Consider the following 17,594-nt stretch of genomic DNA (forward strand, 5'->3'; position numbering starts at 1 on the left):
TCTTCAAGCTGGCTGTAGTATACTTCCGACATACCTCTCTTACTTCCGGAGGACTTCCTTCTTTTCTGGCACAAACTGTTGAAAGTGCACCTTGTATATATATATATATTCTTTGATCCAGCCCCGGAATCAGCCATTTCGACAAAGAGCCTGGTTCCTTTCGGTGGGGAATAGTAATTTGATTCTGCTATTTAGATACTCATTGTAATGGGTTTTATACAATTGAAGATAACTCTTGGTCGGGCACGGTGGCTCACGCCTGTAATCCCAGCACTTTGGGAGGCAGAGGCGGGCAGATCACCTGAAGTCAGGAGTAAGAGACCATCCTGGCCAACATGGTGAAACAGTGTACTAAAAAACACAAAAAAATGAGCTGGGTGTGGTGATGTGCGTCTGTAGTCCCAACTACTCAGGAAGCTGAGGCACAAGAATTGCTTGAACTCGGGAGGCAGAGGTTGCAGTGAGCCAAGATGGTGCCACTGCACTCCCTTGGGTGACAGAGCAAAACTCTGTCTCCACCGCCTCCGCCCCGCCAAGAAAAAGAAGATAACTCTTAAGTTGGAGATTATCAGAAAATTTGTTAGTGGGACATCTTTACTGCTAATGCCTGGAGGAATAGAATATATTAATGCATTTATAGACCACACTGATAAGTATCTGCATTAGAACAGTAGGACAATAGGCCAGGAGTGCCTATCAACACGAAAAAGAGATGCAGTGTTTACAGTACAAATTAAACTGCTCAGAATTCCTGTTCCATGCACCAGATTGCCAGAAGTTAAACTGGAGAGAATCCGTTGATGTAGAGCTGTAGGATTCTCATCTGCTTTTGATGAGAGTGGAGCTTGGTCTAGTTATTTGGAAACGTTTTGCATCATCTGGAAAAGGTGAGCAGAGAGCATACTCTGACCCAGCACGATGCTCTAGAGAGACTCTTGTGTTTGTGCACCAGGACACATGTGCAGTAATGTTCCTCGCAGCATTGTTTTTGGCAGCCCCAAATTGGAAAGAACCAGATTGTCCATTGGCCACAGAATGGATGGGCTGTGTCCTAGAGGAGTACTAATAGAGCACCCAGTGCAAAGCAGAGAGCCCTGCCATCGTGCACATTGATGCGCAGGTGTAAGCAAAGCTGAGAGGGTTTAGACACACACCCACAGGTGGTGACACTGTGAGGAAACTTTTTTTTCTTTTGGTTTTTGCTTTATTGAGATATAATTGGCAAATAAAATTTTATAAAGTGTACAAAGCGATTTGGTATAAGGATAGTGAGGTGATTACCGCAATCAAATTAATTAACAGTTACCCTTGTTTTGTTTTGTTTGGTGAGAATGGCTAAGATCTACTCTTTCAGCAAGTTCCAAGTATACAGTGCAATATTATTAATTACAGGCTGGGCGCTTTGGCTCACACCTGCAGTCCCAGCACTTGGAGAGGCCGAGGCTGTAGGGTCACTTGAGACCGCGTATTCAAGACCAGCCTGCACAACATAGGACAGCATCTCTACAAAAAAATTAAAAAATTAGCCAGGTGTGGCATGTGTTCTGTAGTCCCAGCTATTCATTCAGAAGGCTGAGGCGGGAAGATCGCTTGAGCCCAGGAGGTTGAGGCTGCAGTGAGCTGTGATTGTGCCACTACACTCCAGGCTGGGCTGTAGAGCAATACCCTGTCTCTTAAAAAAAAAAGATTCCACGTGTAAGTGATACTGTACAGCATTTATCTTTCTCTGGCTTATTTCAGTTAGCATTATGCCCTCTAGGTTCATTCATGTTGTTGTAAATGGCAGGATTTCCTTGCTTTTTGTTACCAAATAGTATTCCATGTGTATATACTATATTATCTGTTCATCTGTTGCTGGGCACTTAGGTTGTTTTCATAGCTTGGCTGTTGTGAACAGTGCTGCAGTGAACACAGGAGTGCAGATACCTCTTCAAGACACGGATTTCCTTTCCTTTGGCTGTGCACCCAGAAGTGGGGTTGCTGGATCATATGTTCATTCTATTTTTAATTTTTTGAGGAACCTTCATACTGATTTCCATAATGGCTGTAATAGTTTACATTCTCACCAACAGTGCACAAGGGTTCTTTAGGGAAATGTTTAACAGACATTTTGGGTAGTAAGTGTAGAAGCGGGTGTATGGAGTTTTTAAGGTATGGGTAAAATTTTTTTTTTTTTTGTCTTCCAGTATAATCTCAAGAGCCAAAATGTTTATTTCTTAAGGCATGTGATGAGTATGTAGGGATCGCTTTATTATTACTGCTTTAAATTGTATGTATGTATTTTTCCACTTTCCTCCTCCACATCGTATTATGAAAATTCCAAACAAGTTGAATGGATTGTTTAGTGAAAGATATCTTACTGTTTAAATTCTATGATTAATTTTACTGTGCTTTGGAAGTCTTACATATATTTTATAATTTCTTTTGTATGTGTGATGTATTTCCTAATTAAAAATTCCTTGTAAGACGGAAAGAGGAAAACCAAGGAGCCTCCATTTTGAGTTACAGACTTGCGGCAGGTGACAGTGGATGTCTAAGAAAATAGAAAAGAGTTAAAATGGAAACATCCATTGCTTTAGGAAAAAATTCAGCGTGAGTTTTATTACTTTCTTTTTCTTTTTCTTTTTCTTTTTTTTTTTTTAAACAGAGTCTCGCTCTGTCGCCCAGGCTGGAGTGCAGTGGCGCGATCTCGGTTCACCGCAAGCTCCGCCTCCTGGGTTCACGCCATTCTCCTGCCTCAGCCTCCGGAGTAGCTGAGACTACAGGCCCCTGCGACCACGCCCGGCGAATTTTTTGTTATTTTTAGTAGAGACGGGGCTTCACCATGTTAGCCAGGATGGTCTCGATCTCCTGACCTCGTGATCCGCCCTCCTCGGCCTCCCAAAGTGCTGGGATTACAGGCGTGAGCCACCGCACCTGGCCGAGTTTTATTACTAATAGCCAATTGTGTAATTTTTATTTTGACCAGTGAAACTCTAGAAATAAATTCAGAATTTGTTATTACATATGTACTAATTTCTGTTTCGAAAAGATTTTTAGGTGATACTGAGTGCAGGGGTGTTGCATATAAAATACAGACAGGCACGCATTTATTTATAAAAAGATAAAAAGAACCGTTCTAAGCAGAAATTTTTCATCATTTTCCTGTTAGAGAAAATGAATAATTCGCCATAATTTTATCACCCTAACACAACCTTTTTTTTTTTTTTTTTTTTTTTTGTGACGGAGTCTCGCTCTGTTGTCCAGGCTGGAGTGCAGTGGCGCGATCTCGACTCACTACAGCCTCTGCCTCCCAGGCTCAAACGATTCTCCTGTCTCAGCTTCCTGAATAGCTAAGATTACAGGCGTGTACCACCACACCCAGCTAATTTTTGTATTTTTAGTAGAGGCGGGATTTTACCATGTCGGCCAGGCTGGTCTCGAACTCCTGACCTCAAGTGATCCACCTGCCTTGGCCTCCCAAAGTGCTGGGATTACAGGCATGAGCCACCATGCCTGACTGATTTTTTAAATGTTATGTTGCATATATACCAGTTGAAACAAATGAATTTATACTTTTTTGTTTTGTTATTTCATTTAACAAATAATTATTTTATTGACTTCTAATAATTCTGTTTTTAACTGCTGTTACTGCTTCATTATTTTCAGGACCTGTAATTCATCTAACCACTTTCTAGTTTTAGGTTATGTCTGTTCTATTTAGAAAAACTCTTAGGAGTGACACTAGTGAATCAGGAGAGCGTAAGTCTCTTCGTGGTGCCCACCGTATACTCACTTTGTGTTTAGCTAAAAGTGCTGCTAGACTGTGGCCCCAGTTTTATTATGGCTTTGCAAGCCCTGTTAACCATTCTAAAAAGAGTTTAAACTTTGGGAGGCTACGGTGGGCAGATCACTTGAGGCCAGGAGTTTGAGACCAGCCTGGCCAACATGGCAAAACCCCATCTCTACCAAAAATACCAAAAATTTGCCGGGTGTGGTGGCGTGTTCCCGTACTCCCAGCTACTTGAGAGGCTGAGGCAGGAGAATCACTTGAACCCAGGAGGCAGAGGCTACAGTGAGCCAAGATTGTGCCGCTGCACTCCAGCCTGGGCAGCGGAGCAAGACTCTGTCTCAAAAAAAATAAGACAGAGTTTCAGGATGAGTTTTATTATTTGCAGCCAATTGTAGGATTTTTATAATAAACTAATCTATGCCAGTTAAACTCCAGAAATAAATCCAGAGTGCTCAGCATTGCGTGTATTTCTCTTTGTTTCCAGAAGGTTTTGTGGTTGTGTTGAGTGCAGCTATAGTATAAAAAATACTACTAATATTATTATGGTTATTTATGTCTTATAAAAACCTCCTGATTGGAGCATTTTTTTCAGTGATTATGATGTTAGAGAAAATGAGTAATTATTTATGGTTTTGTGATCCTAACCCAACTGTTGTTTCTTACGTTACTTTACGTATGTGTTTGTATTTTTTTTTTTTTTTTTTGAGACAGAGTCTTGCTCCGTTGCCAGGCTGAACACGATCTCAGCTCACCACAACCTCTGCCTCCTGGGTTGAAGCGATTCTCCCACCTCAGCCTCCCGAGTAGCTGGGACTACAGGCGTGTGCCACCATGCCCAGCTAATTTTTGTATTTTTAGTAGAGATGGGGTTTCACCACGTTGGCCAGCATGGTCTCGAACTCCTGACCTCAGGTAATCCGCCTACCTCAGCCTCCCAAAGTGCTGGGATTACAGGCGTGAGCCACCGCGCCTGGCCAGTTTTTTAATTTTTTTGTAGAAATGGAGGTCTCACTTTGTTGCCTGGGCTGGTCTTGAACTCTTGGGCTCAAGCAGTCCTCCCGCCTCGGCCTCCCAAAATGCTGGAATTACAGGCATGAGCCACTACACCTGGCTTCATAGTTTATTTCTTTGTTTATTTAAATAGGGCAGAAATTTTCCTTTTGGTAGCTGCCAACTACTATTGGTCTTAATTTCTACCTTCAGAATACCATCAATCTGTCCTTTTAGGTGGCAGATGTTCTGTGAGCTTTCTTCTGCTGTGTTTTCCATGGATAAGCTCTGTTTTGGTATTGTCTCTCCTAAATGGGCACCCAGAATTAAATTCCCTTCAGAGTGTTTTTTCTTTGTGAGAAATTCTCTTTTTTAAAGAATTGTCATAATGGTTTTTGATCAAAATCAAGGTTGCATTTTAAAGACAAGAGTATCTTCTGTAATCCCAGCACTTTGGGAGGCCGAGGCGGGCGGATCACGAGGTCAGGAATTCAAAACCAGCCTGGTCAACATAGTGAAACCCCATCTGTACTTAAAAATACAAAAAATTAGCCGGGCTTGGTGGCAGGCGCCTGTAATTCCAGCTACTCGGGAGGCTGAGTCAGGAGAATTGCTTGAACCCGGGAGGCAGAGGTTGCATTGAGCAGGGCTTGTGCCACTGTACTCCATCCTGGGCGACAGAGAGACTCCATCTCAAAAAAAAAAAAAAAAAAAAAAGACCAGAGTATCTTTACCAATAATACCTTCATGGAGACAGAATAAGGTAAAACTAAAAATAATTCTGAAAACCAAGGCTGAGTGTGCCGTGCCTGGAGGAGTTCCTGTGTCTTCTGCAGAACCCAGGGGCAGCAGGACCCGTGTGTCCTGAGTCCTCTGGGAAGCAGGCTGAGTGTCAGCCACAGCCGGGGAGCAGTCAACAGGGCGCACAGTCCTCCCTGTCAGTGCTTCTTGAGCAGAAGTTTCTCATTTTAATGAAGTCCAGTTTATCCGTGTGTTCATGTAGATATCCAGTTTTCTAGCACCGTTTGTTGAAAAGACTGTCTGTTCCCCATTGGATTGCCTTAGAGGCTTTGGAACACTGTGTGAGCGTGGGTCTGATTCTTGGTGCGCAGCTCAGTTCTTCTTATCTGTGTGTTGGTCCTTACGCCAGCGCTGCACTGCACTGTCCTGGTTCCTGGAGTCTTGGGGCGTGTCTTGAAGTCAGGTCCTTCACTTGGTTCTTCTCTCTCAATAATCTTTTTTCAGGCTCACTGATTTTTAAATTTTTTTTTCTTTTTCTTTTTTTGAGATAGGGTCTCACTCTGTCACCCAGGCTGGAGTGTGGTGGCGTTCTTTCGGCTCACTGCAACCTCAGCCTCCAGGGCTGAAGTGATCCTCCCATCCCAGCTTCCCAAGTAGCTGGGAGTACAGGCCTGTGCCACCATACCTAGCTAATTTTTGTATTTTTGTAGAGATGAATTTTCGCCACGTTGGTCAGGCTGGTCTTGAACTCCTGACCTCAAGTGATCTGTGTACCTTAGGTTCCCAAATGGCTGGAAATACAGCATAAGCCACTGCGCCTGGTCAATTTAAAATTTTTTGTTTGTTTTTTGGAGATGGGGTCTCATTATATTGCCCAGGCTGATTTTGAACTCCTGACCTCAAGCAGTCCTCTTGCCTTGACCTCCCAAAGTGCTGGGATTATAGGCATGAGTCACCATGCCCCGACTGATTTTTTCACATCTCCACACTGATGTTACGCCTATCCAATGAATTTTTTTTTATTTCGGATGTTGTATTTTTCACTTCTAGTATCTCCATTTCGCTCTTTATTTTAATAGTTTCTGTTTTGTCAAGATTTCTTCTTGTCTTTTATTGCAGTATATTTTTCTTTATGACCTTGGGCATACATATTAAGGTCACTTTAATATCCTTGCCTGCTTATTCTAGTACGTGGGTCATCTTGAGGTTGGTGTCTGAGTATGGCTCGTGTTTTTTGTTTGTATTTTGGAGTAATTTTGTTTGTATTTTGGAGTAAGTTTGAATTGGATTTTGTACAATTGTGCATGATATGTAGAAACCCTGGGTTCTGTTATATTCTTCTGAAACGTATTTATTTTCTTTAACACTTAACTTGATTGAATTAAAAATGCACACTCTGGCTGGGTGTGGTGGCTCACGCCTGTAATGCCAGCACTTTGGGAGGCTGAGGCGGGTGGATCACAAGGTCAGGAGTTTGAGACCAGCCTGGCCAATATGGTGAAACCCTGTCTCTACTAAAAATACAAAAATTAGCCGGGCATGGTGGCGCACCTGTAGTCCCAGCTTCTCAGGAGGCTGAGGCAGGAGAATCGCTTGAACCCAGGAGGTGGAGGTTGCAGTGAGGCGAGATCGTACCATTGCACTCCAGCCTGGGCGACAGAGCGAGACTCTGTCTCAAAAAAACAAAAAACAAAAACGCCAAACAGCAACAAAAAACCTGCATACTCTTTCTCCTTTGTGGCAGGAGGCACCTGAAAACTCAGTTCAGTACTTGGGCCTTCTCTTGGATTCTGTTTTTGTGTACATGGTTTAGGTGGAGGTTAGGGAGAGAATGTGGGGCCTCCTCCTTTTCCATCTGTCTCTTGCTCTTTGTCCTCTTGTTCAAGCCAGTGAGATGCTATGTGTCTTTAGGTTTGAGCCGTTCCATAGAGCACAGACTGGGGCTGCCCTCATGCCAAATGCCATGAAACTGGAAACCTTACCGTGTTCTATTCCCTTCTTGCGAATATCACTTCCCTTCCTGTATCACTGGCCTACCTTTTCATATTTTTTTGTATTTCATCTAGAGTTTATGGTTACCTGGATTATGTTTTTTGTTTTTGTTTTTGTTTTTGTTTTTTTGAGACGGAGTCTCGCTCTTTCACCCAGGTTGGAGTGCAGTAGTGCAGTCTCGGCTCACTGCAAGCTCTGCCTCCCGGGTTCACGCCATTTTCCTGCTTCAGCCTCCCGAGTAGCTGGGACTACAGGCACCCGTCACCGCGTCTGACTAATTTTTTTTTTTTTTTGTATTTTTAGTAGAGACGGAGTTTCACCATGGTCTCGATCTCCTGCCCTTGTGATCCACCCACCTCGGCCTCCCAAAGTGCTGGGATTACAGGCGTGAGCCACCATGCCCGGCCTTGTTACCTGGATTATGTTTGACCGGATAGGAAGTACTTGGCCATTACTGGACACGGAGCCCTTTATCAAGTTTTTTTTTTTTTTAATTAAAAAATACTCTTTTCTTTGGTTGTATTGGTCATACATGTTCATTATAGAACATTTGGGAAATTTAGAAACGCACACACACACAAATCATGTCACCTGTAATGCTGCCCCAGAGGTAACCACTGCCAGGCCATTGTTTTCAAAACATTCTTTCCTTTCTTTCCTCCCTCTCTTTGTCCATTCCCTCTGTCCCTTTCATCTTCTTTCCTTTTCCATCTTGGTTAAATGTAAACGGCAGTGCCTTCCTGCTACATATGCTGTATTGTGGCTGATTTTTCCTTTTAGTAACTCTTCCTAAGCCTTTCCCCGTGTGAGTACAGAGTCTGTGGCATGGCTGGTGGTGGCTGTGTGGTGGCCCTTGTGTGGCAGTTGGTTCAAACAGCTCCCTGTCACTGAACAGTTGCTTTGTTTAGGTATCTGTAACTTTTGCGTTTAAAATGTCTCACTAAGTAGAGTGAATATAATTGAGTGATTTAAGGAATAATTTAGCAACTAGTAATTAAGTCCTTAGCATTTACTTTAATGGCAAGGATGGTGACCAGATGGAAAAGGGTTAGGGTTAAGTCTGTGCTAACCAAGAGTTGGCTAGTTTCTGTCTTTGTAAAATAACATGCCAATAGCTTCCCATGTAAACTTTTAAAAAACATGATTTTTTACGAGCAGTTTTAGGTTCACAGCAGAATTGAGAGGAAGGAACAAGAGATTTTTAAACATACCCCATTGCTCCCCCGCCCATGTGCACAGCCTCCTTTGTATCCGTGTCCCCCACCAGACGGTGCATTTGTTGCACTTGGTGAAACCTTCAGTGCCATGTCATTAGCATAGTACTGTAGTTTCACCGCCCTAGAAATGTCCCGTGCTCACCTATTCACCTCCTCCCCTCTGCTTTGCACCTGGCAACCACTCATCTTTTTGTCTCTATAGTTTTGCCTTTTCCAAGACATCACAGAGTTAGGATCATGTAGCATGTCGCCTTTTCAGATTGGCTTCTTTCATTTTTTGTTTTTTTTAAAGATGGGGTCTCTTACTTTGTTGCCCAGGCTGGAATGCAGAGTGCAGTGGCACAGTCCTAGATCACTGCAGCTTCAAACTCTTGGGCTCAAGACTCCTGAGTAGCTAGGACTACAGGCATGTGTCACCATGCCTGGCTAACATTTTAATTTTTATTTTTTTGTAGAGACAGGATCTTGCTGTGTTGCCCAGGCTGGTTTTGAACTGCTGACCTCAAGCGATCCTCCCACCTCAGCCTTCCAAAGTGTTGGGATTAAGGCATAAGCCACCACACCTGGTGATGGCTTTTTTTCACTTTAAACATTTTAAATAACATCTGTCTATTTATATCTCTATATATCTCACATATTTATATCTCATGTAGGGTGCTAACTATAAAAATATCCTTTTAAAGCTCTAAGTTGGCTGGGTGCGGTGGCTCACACCTGTAATCCCAGCACTTTGGGAGGCCGAGGCAGGCGGATCATGAGGTCAGGAGATCAAGACCATCCTGGCTAATGCGGTGAAACCCCGTCTCTACTAAAAATTCAAAAAAACTAGCCAGGCGTGGTGGCAGGCGCCTGTAGTCCCAGCTACTCGGGAGGCTGAGGCAGGAGAATGGCTTGAACCTGGGAGGCAGAGGTTGCACTGAGATCCCGCCACTACACTCCAGCCTGGGTGACAGAGCGAGACTCCGTCTCAAAAAAAAAAAAAAAAGATCTAAATTAATTAGATAGTTATTAATTGGGGTTTTAGTGTCATTTTCCAGTAGAAAGGCAATTTCACCTTTTTATTATTCGGTGTTTTTGGATGTGAAGTTATGCTGGGCAGTGTGACTGATGAGTCGGCTGAGATTTGTCTCAGAACTGAAACTCATGTTTCCCAGCATTAGCCCTTTTGTTGTTTCCCAAGGACTGTAGGTTTGCATTGATTTGAAATTCCATTAAAACCAGAATAATATGTCTTTTACAAGTCTTTTTTCCCCCAGAGGTAAGTTAGAACTTTAAATTGTTTATTATACATAAATATACATTACACATGTATATTTAAAGACACGGGGTAGATAACATTCCTGTTATTAGAAAGGAAGGAGGTCGATGTTTGGGATAATTATGATAATTTGAGTTTATTCTTGTAATGGCCTTCAGTGATCAAAATCTCATTTTTTCATCTTTTTTCCCAGCAGCAAGCCCTCGCAGGGAGCCTGGTAGCAGGGGCCGGAAGCACAGTAGAGACGGACCTGTTTAAGAGGCAGCAGGCGATGCCCTCCACAGGTATGGCAGGTACGTCGGCACGGCTAGCGTGGCCTCGGGAATGCCCCCCTCTCCTTGGGCTGCCGAGGTACAGTTGCCATGAGTTTCTGAAGAGCAGTTGCTAAACTTGGTTTCTTCCTACTTTGAAAATTAACCTGTCTTACAGTGATTATCAGCTGAACAATATTTACGTGAATTTTTCTGTGTCCTGAAGTGAGGAATTTTTCAGTTGAGCAGGTGTATTCCGTGTTGGTTTTCTGTATGCATTTGTAGGCTCTTGAGTCATCACGGTGTGATTAAACACAAAATCATCTGCTTTCCAAAGTTGTCATATTTTTAAGCTGATTTTTTCAAATGATAAACTTAATACATTTTTATATAAAAGACTTCAACAGTTCAGTAGGGTATAACTTAAGTCTATGTCTGGCTTGGTACCTGCCCACTCCCCAGCCACAGCAGTAACCACTGTTAATGTTTCCCATATTCTCTCTCACAGACCTTCCTCTCTTCATACACAAGCATTGTTACATATGTGATACTTTGAAAAAGTTGAGATGCGATCATATATAAGTTGTTATGTCTAAGAATATTAACTGAAGAGGCCATCTCTCCAGGTCATAACCTCTCTCAGTGCTCCATGCTGTTCCGTCTTGGGGATGGTTGGTTCTTTATCAGTCAGATCCTTGTCAGTGTTCATCTGTTAGTGCCACCTTGTGTCTGTTACAGTGAGCTAAGGATTGAACATGTAGTCTCATGGTTTTTTTTTCCTACATGTTTATCAGTCTATCCATCTGCTTATTTTTTGAGGTAGGGTCTGGTTCACCCGGGCTGGAGTGCACTGGCATCATCATGGCTCACTGCAGCCTCTACCTCCCAGGCTTGAGCAAATCTCATGCCTCAGCCTCCTGAGTAGCTGGGACTACAGGCGCGTGCCACCACTCCCAGCTAAATGCAAAAATTGTTGCATTTTAGGTACAGTTGTGGTCCCACTATGTTGCCCAGGCTGGTCTCAAACTCCTGGGCTCAAGTCTTCTTGCCTCAGCCTCCCAAAGTGCTGGGATTATAAGCGTGAGCCACCGCGCCCAACTGTCTGTCAATATATCTAAAGGAAAAACGCCTAGAAATGAAATTGCTAGATCAAAGCGCAGATGTAGTTAAGTAATAATGGTGCTCAATTGCCCACCAAAAGGACAGGGCCAGTTTTCACTGCCATCAACAATTTCTGGTTCTTTCACATTTTGATCGTTTTATTAGGTATAAGTCATTTAATCCTCATTGATCTGATGGGTGAAACATTCCTTGTTCTGATATGGGTTTCTTTAGTTTTGAGCACGCTGTGCAGCCTCATTCCCTGTGTGCTGGGCATTTGTGAGTCTGCTCCACTGCCCGCTCTCCATGCTCTCGTCCGTGTACTTGTGATGCTCCTCATGTGTGCCTGTGCTTTCTGAGTGCTAAGCAAGCCCACCTCTGCCCGTCACACACGTTGCAGTGTTGCCTCTCAGGTTGTTGCTTGTCCTTGGCCTTTTCATGATGCTTTTTCTTATATCGGCAACATTTTAATGAGAAATTGTATTTATCAGCCTTATGTTTTATGGCTTCTGGATTTTAGTTCATGTATAGAAAGGCCTCCCTTTTCCAAGATGATAAAAACACACATGTTTTTTTCTACTACTTCTCTGGTTTTATTTTTACATCAAACTGCACCTTTTTTGAAAATTATTCTAGAGCAGTCTAAGAGGCCTCGCCTTGAAGTGGGTCACCAAGGGGTAGTTTTCCAGCACCCAGGGGCGGACGCAGGCGTTCCTCTCCAGCAACTAATGCCGACCGCACAAGGTAAGGCCCAGCAGCAGAGCCAGCTCCCCGCTCAGGAGCAGGCAGCACACTGCGGTTCCAGAAACCAGCACCAGACTCAGACTTGGGCAGTGGAGGTAGCGTGTTTGCAGTGGGGTGCCTGAAATTGAGATACTTCTCTGAGTCCCAGTCGATATCATATGCAAAGCCCCTGGAGACATATTCTTGCCACACTAATGGGAGCCACACGTCGCATTGTCATAGTGTCTTTCAACAATTTTTACTCCTATGTTTTTCCTAATTGCTGCTGTTGTAGGGGTGCCCTGTGGTGATCTGGTGCTTGTTTTGCTTGATGCTGACTTGCAAAGGTCAAGCGCCTCTCTTTCCTTTTGTGTGTGCTCGGTTGTGGCCAACTTCTCGTGTGAGTGTGGTGGGTCTTGGACAAGCACTGGGGTGTTAGACGTGTCTCCTTGTGACTCATTGGTAGAAGCTGCCACACTTGGGAATCAGTGCTTTTGGCACTTTTCTTATTTTGCAGGAGGAATGCCCCCCACGCCGCAGGCCGCGCAGCTCGCTGGACAGAGGCAGAGTCAGCAGCAGTATGACCCCTCCACGGGGCCTCCCGTGCAGAACGCTGCCAGCTTGCACACCCCACTGCCGCAGCTGCCCGGGAGGCTGCCCCCAGCCGGTGTTCCCACTGCAGCCCTCTCCTCTGCGCTGCAGTTTGCACAGCAGCCGCAAGTGGTAGAGGCCCAGACACAGCTCCAAATCCCGGTGAAGACTCAGCAGCCCAATGTTCCCATCCCTGCACCGCCCAGCAGCCAACTCCCCATCCCTCCCTCGCAGCCTGCACAGCTGGCCCTCCACGTTCCCACACCTGGAAAGGTGCAGGTGCAGGCCTCTCAGCTTTCCTCCCTGCCACAGGTATGAGAAAAGATAGAGGAAAAAAAGAAAATGGTTTGCAGGATTTGCTGGCTACCTGTGTGTTAGACAGAGTGTCACACCACACTGTAATTTGTGTATTTTCTCTTAGCAGCTTGCTCCCCCAATTTAGAACAATTACTCAATTCAGTACTTGCAATACAGTTTTATTTGGCTCTATGATATTATCTTTATTAAAGTAATAGAGAACTGGGCTGGGTTTGGTGACTCACGCCTGTAATCCCAGCCTTTGGGAGGCTGAGGCGGGTGGATTACCTGAGCTCAGGAGTTCGAGACCAACCTGGCCAACATGGCGAAACCCTGTCTCTACTAAAAATACAAAAATTAGCCAGGCGTGGTGGCAAGTGCCTGTAGTCCAAGCTACTTCAAAGGCTTAGGCAGGAGAATCACTTGAACCTGGGAGGTGAAGGTTGCACTGAGCTGAGATCACACCATTGCACTCCAGCCTGGGTGACAGAGTGAGACTCTGTCTCAAAAAAAAAAAAAAAATAATAATAATAATAGACAACTGTTATTATTGTCACTCTTAGTACCAGGGGTCCCTCCTTACTCACCCATATGTTGTGTGAAGGGCATGGTGTCAGTTATCCCTTATGATCTGCCTAGCAACCCTCAGGTAGGTGGCAGCGACCCATTCTACCAGTGTGGAGACACATACTCAGAGGTTCTGGGGCTGGCCCCAGGTTACATGGCGATGAAGTGATGAGCGGGGCTTGACCCTAGCTCCATGTGAGTGCAAAACCATGTTGGACACCACCCACCAGACGTGCTCCCTGGACGCCTGCTTTGCTGCTTTTGGGATGCTATATGCTCTGCAAATGTGTGTAAGGTGTTACTGATCCAGCTTGATACACATGTGTAAGGCGTTACTGATGCAGCTTGATACACATTTCAGGTAGTTAAAATGCCCCTCCTCCTCCACTGATTAATTTTACCCAGTGTGTTTTTGGGATGTCCACAGTAAACTGGTTTCGGTTCCTAAGGAATAGCGAAATGCCACAGCCTCGGTGCCAGCCGTCAACAGGGCACTGACAGGGAGGCCGGGGAGGACTCTCAGCCCCCTTGGTTCTCCACTGTTTGATGCACATCAGGGCGTGGGGAGCCCACTGCAGAGAGTCTTCCCTTCCTTTTGCCTTCTCCCTCACTAACAAAGGAATTTCCTAGGTGGGCTTTAAGTTCAGGGTTTTTGTTTGTTTGTTTTGAAACAGGGTCTGGCTCTGTCACCCAGGCTGGAATGCAGTGACACGATCTCTGCTCACTGCAGCCTCTACTTCCTGGGCTTAGATGATCCTCCTGTCCCTGCCCCCTGAGTAGCTGGGACTACAGGCGCACACCACTACACCTGGCTGATTTTTGTATTGTTGTAGAGATGGGATTTCGCCATGCTGCCCAAGCTACAAGTGCTTTTTCTTTTTTTTTTTTTAGACGGAGTTTCGCTCTTGTTACCCAGGCTGGAGTGCAGTGGCCCGATCTCGGCTCACCACAACCTCTGCCTCCTGGGTTCAAGCGATTCTCCTGCCTCAGCTCCCGAGTAGCTGGGATTATAGGCATGTTGCCACCATGCCGGCTAATTTTGTGTTTTTAGTAAAGACGAGGTTTCTCCATGGGTTAGGCTGGTCTTGAACTCCTGACCTCAGGTGATCCGCTGGCTTTGGCCTTCCAAAGTGCTGGGATTACAGGCGTGAGTCACCGCACCCGGCCTACAGGTTCTTTATGTTTGAGATTTATGGCAAAGTCTTAAGTATATAACGATGAAATAATAGTAACAATAATAGCTATCTCTTATTCACCACTTGTGAGGTGTGGTGTCAAGCACTGTGATGAGCGATTTATTGGCATTGTTTATTTCCTTTACCTGACAACCTTATGAGGTAGAATCTTTACTATCTCCATTTTATAGATTAAAAAAACCAGAGGCCAGAAAAGCCAGCAACTGGGGGGGCTGTAGTTGGGAGCCTTTTGTGCAAGTCTGCAGGGAAGCCTTGTACACCCACTTTGAGAAAGGCGACACATGCCAGGGCAGCTGAGCTCTTCTAGGCCTTACATTGCTTGCTTTAGGTTTTTGTGGAAATGATTCTATTTTGAACACTTCCTCACATCGAGCCACATACTGACTTAAAGCAGCTCCGTGGTTTTTCTTAGATTTAATTTACCTGCCTGTGTTACTGAAAAACTCAGCTGTGGAAAATGGTTTTATTTTATTTTATCTTTTTTTTTTTTGAGTCAGAGTCTCACTCTGTCCCTCAGGGTGGAGCGCAGTGGCACGATCTCCGCTCACTGCAACCTCTGCCTCCTGGGTTCAAACCATTCTCCTGCCTCAGCCTCCCGAGTAGCTGGGACTACAGGCATGCGCCACCACGCCCTACTAGGTTTTTTTTTTTTCCAGCAGAGAAATGATTTATTTCACAATTTAGCTCTCTAAATAACTTTATATTCTCTCCTTAAGAACAACAGTAGAGGAAATCATTTACTGATCATTTTACAATGCACATAATATCTTATGCATGCTTAGGCAACTGTTTTTTTTTTTTTACTTTTTAGTAGAGATGGGCTTTTGCCATGTTGGCCAGGCTGGTCTGAAACTCCTAACCTCAACTAATCCACCCACCTTGGGCTCCCAAAATGCTGGGATTACAGGCGTGAGCCGCCACACCCAGCCTGGAAAATGATTTTAAAGAAGCGCTTTACAAAGTCTGTAGGAACCTGTTACTTCTAGGTTAGCCAGGGTTGGCACACTTTCTCAGTCAAGGGCCAGGGAGTAAATGTTCCAGCTTTGCGAGCTGTTCAGTTTCTGTGGCAGAAGTGAAGACACAGCCGCTCACGGACAGCACGTAAGTGGATGTGGCTGTGCTGTAATAAAGCTTCATTTCCAAACGCCTGTGGCCAGCCGGGAGACGGCGCTGCCGAGGTGAAGAAAGCAGACCCACGTCGTGGGACGGGCGCTCAGAGAGAGTGTGCTCTAGCGGTTCTGTCTCCCTTCAGCTTTTGAACGGGCTAAATCTTGTGTGAGCCTTCACTCAGCCCACCTTCCCTGCTCTCTGTGAATTTAAGTCACAGAGTCGCAGCAGTTCTCTGTGACTTTAAGTCTGTCGTTGAGGTGGTGCGAAGAGGAGGACTTTTCTTTTTTTGAGACGGAGTTTTGCTCTTGTTCCCCATGCTGGAGTAGAATGGCGCAATCTCAGCTCACCACAACCTCCGCCTCTTGGGTTTAAGCAATTCTCCTGCTTCAGCCTCCCGAGTAGCTGGGATTAATAGGCATGTGCCACCATGCCCGGCTAATTTTGTATTTTTAGTAGAGACGAGGTTTCTCCATGTTGGTCAGGCTGGTCTTGAACTCCTGACCTCAGGTGATCCGCCCACCTCGGCCTCTGAAAGTGCTGGTATTATAGGCGTGAGCCACTGCGCCTGGCCTGAGGAGGATTTTTTAACCCTTTTAGCCTGTCTGCCATGAGAGAGGCACACTGAATTTGTATTTTATTTTATTTTATATTTTGTTGAGATAGGGTCTTGCTTCGTTGCCCAGGCTGGAGTACAGTGGCACAAACATGACTCACTGCAGTCTCAACCTCCCAGGCTCAAGCAGTCCTCCCACCTCAGCCTCCCATGTAGCTGCGACCAAAGGTGCACACCACCACACCTGGCTAATTTTTAAATTTTTTTGTAGAGATGGGGTCTTTCTTTGTCAAAGCCCAGGCTCATCTCAAACTCCTGGGCTCAAGCAGTCCTCCCACTTCAGCCTCCCAAAGTGTTGGGATTACTGGCATGAGCCACTGGGCATGGCCTAAAGATAGTTCATAATGAAAACTCCTATTTGGTTTTGTGGAAGTGGGAGGATGTATTATTTGTGGACACGTTAGTGTTGGGCTGTGGATACGATGTGATTTGTCTGCTTGCATCGTGGAGCGGAAGGTGCTGGCAGTGCGCGTCTCTGGTGCTGTGGGCGCTCAGGTATTTGGCACCGTGGGCTGCCCCGACATCTTTTCTTCACCTTGCTCCACTTGTGCCCTGCCCTTACAGATGGTAGCATCGACAAGGCTCCCTGTGGACCCTGCCCCGCCCTGCCCACGGCCTCTGCCCACCTCTTCTACCTCGTCCCTCGCGCCTGTGAGTGGCTCCGGCCCAGGACCCTCCCCTGCTCGATCCTCTCCAGTAAATAGACCTTCCTCAGCCACCAATAAGGCACTATCTCCAGTCACTTCCCGGACCCCAGGGGTGGTGGCATCTGCCCCCACCAAACCACAGAGTCCTGCTCAGAATGCCACCTCGTCCCAAGACAGTTCTCAGGATACGCTGACAGAACAAATAACTCTGGTAAGCATGCTTAAGAAAGTTGTAAAATGTACTCCAGTTGGTGAAGCACATTTAGTTTTAATTGTCAAGAATGTGATGGCGTAAAACCGAATGCCTGGTCAATTCAGCATGGCTTGGGAATCAGTAGACACAAGATGAAAACCAAGGGTTAGCCTTTTCTGTTGGAAGCAGACTCATGGGGGCAGTCTGCGTTTTTGTGATAAAGCCTGCAGTCTTGGGCTGCTTTCATATGGGCAGTAGACGAGGGTGGGAGAGGTCACGTGTAGCAGTTAGGCGGAGAGGGACAAGCTTGAGCGCTGGGGCCCTGCAGGCTGTGA

The 17,594-nt window shown here is 45.3% G+C and overlaps 1 protein-coding gene across 1 annotated transcript in view, besides 1 other annotated feature; it reads left to right on the forward strand.

The window, feature by feature from the left end:
• The window catches only part of EP400 (E1A binding protein p400), a 130,519-nt gene that overhangs the window by 19,589 nt on the left and 93,336 nt on the right, over window positions 1-17,594 (forward strand). The window contains exons 3-6 of the mRNA NM_015409.5: window positions 10,164-10,263; window positions 11,959-12,066; window positions 12,563-12,948; window positions 16,984-17,277. Coding sequence (NP_056224.3) covers window positions 10,164-10,263; window positions 11,959-12,066; window positions 12,563-12,948; window positions 16,984-17,277 — 888 coding nt within the window. The remainder of the gene's footprint in view (window positions 1-10,163; window positions 10,264-11,958; window positions 12,067-12,562; window positions 12,949-16,983; window positions 17,278-17,594) is intronic.
• Window positions 16,501-17,120: an enhancer, noted in NCBI's record as "H3K4me1 hESC enhancer chr12:132470576-132471195 (GRCh37/hg19 assembly coordinates)". NCBI's record gives its function as "activates a minimal SCP1, AML or CMV promoter by ChIP-STARR-seq in primed H9 embryonic stem cells {active_cell/tissue: H9 hESC(primed)}" and the evidence as "EXISTENCE:reporter gene assay evidence [ECO:0000049][PMID:30033119]".

This window comes from Homo sapiens, chromosome 12 (genome assembly GCF_000001405.40).
Source record: "Homo sapiens chromosome 12, GRCh38.p14 Primary Assembly".
NCBI lineage: Eukaryota > Metazoa > Chordata > Mammalia > Primates > Hominidae > Homo > Homo sapiens.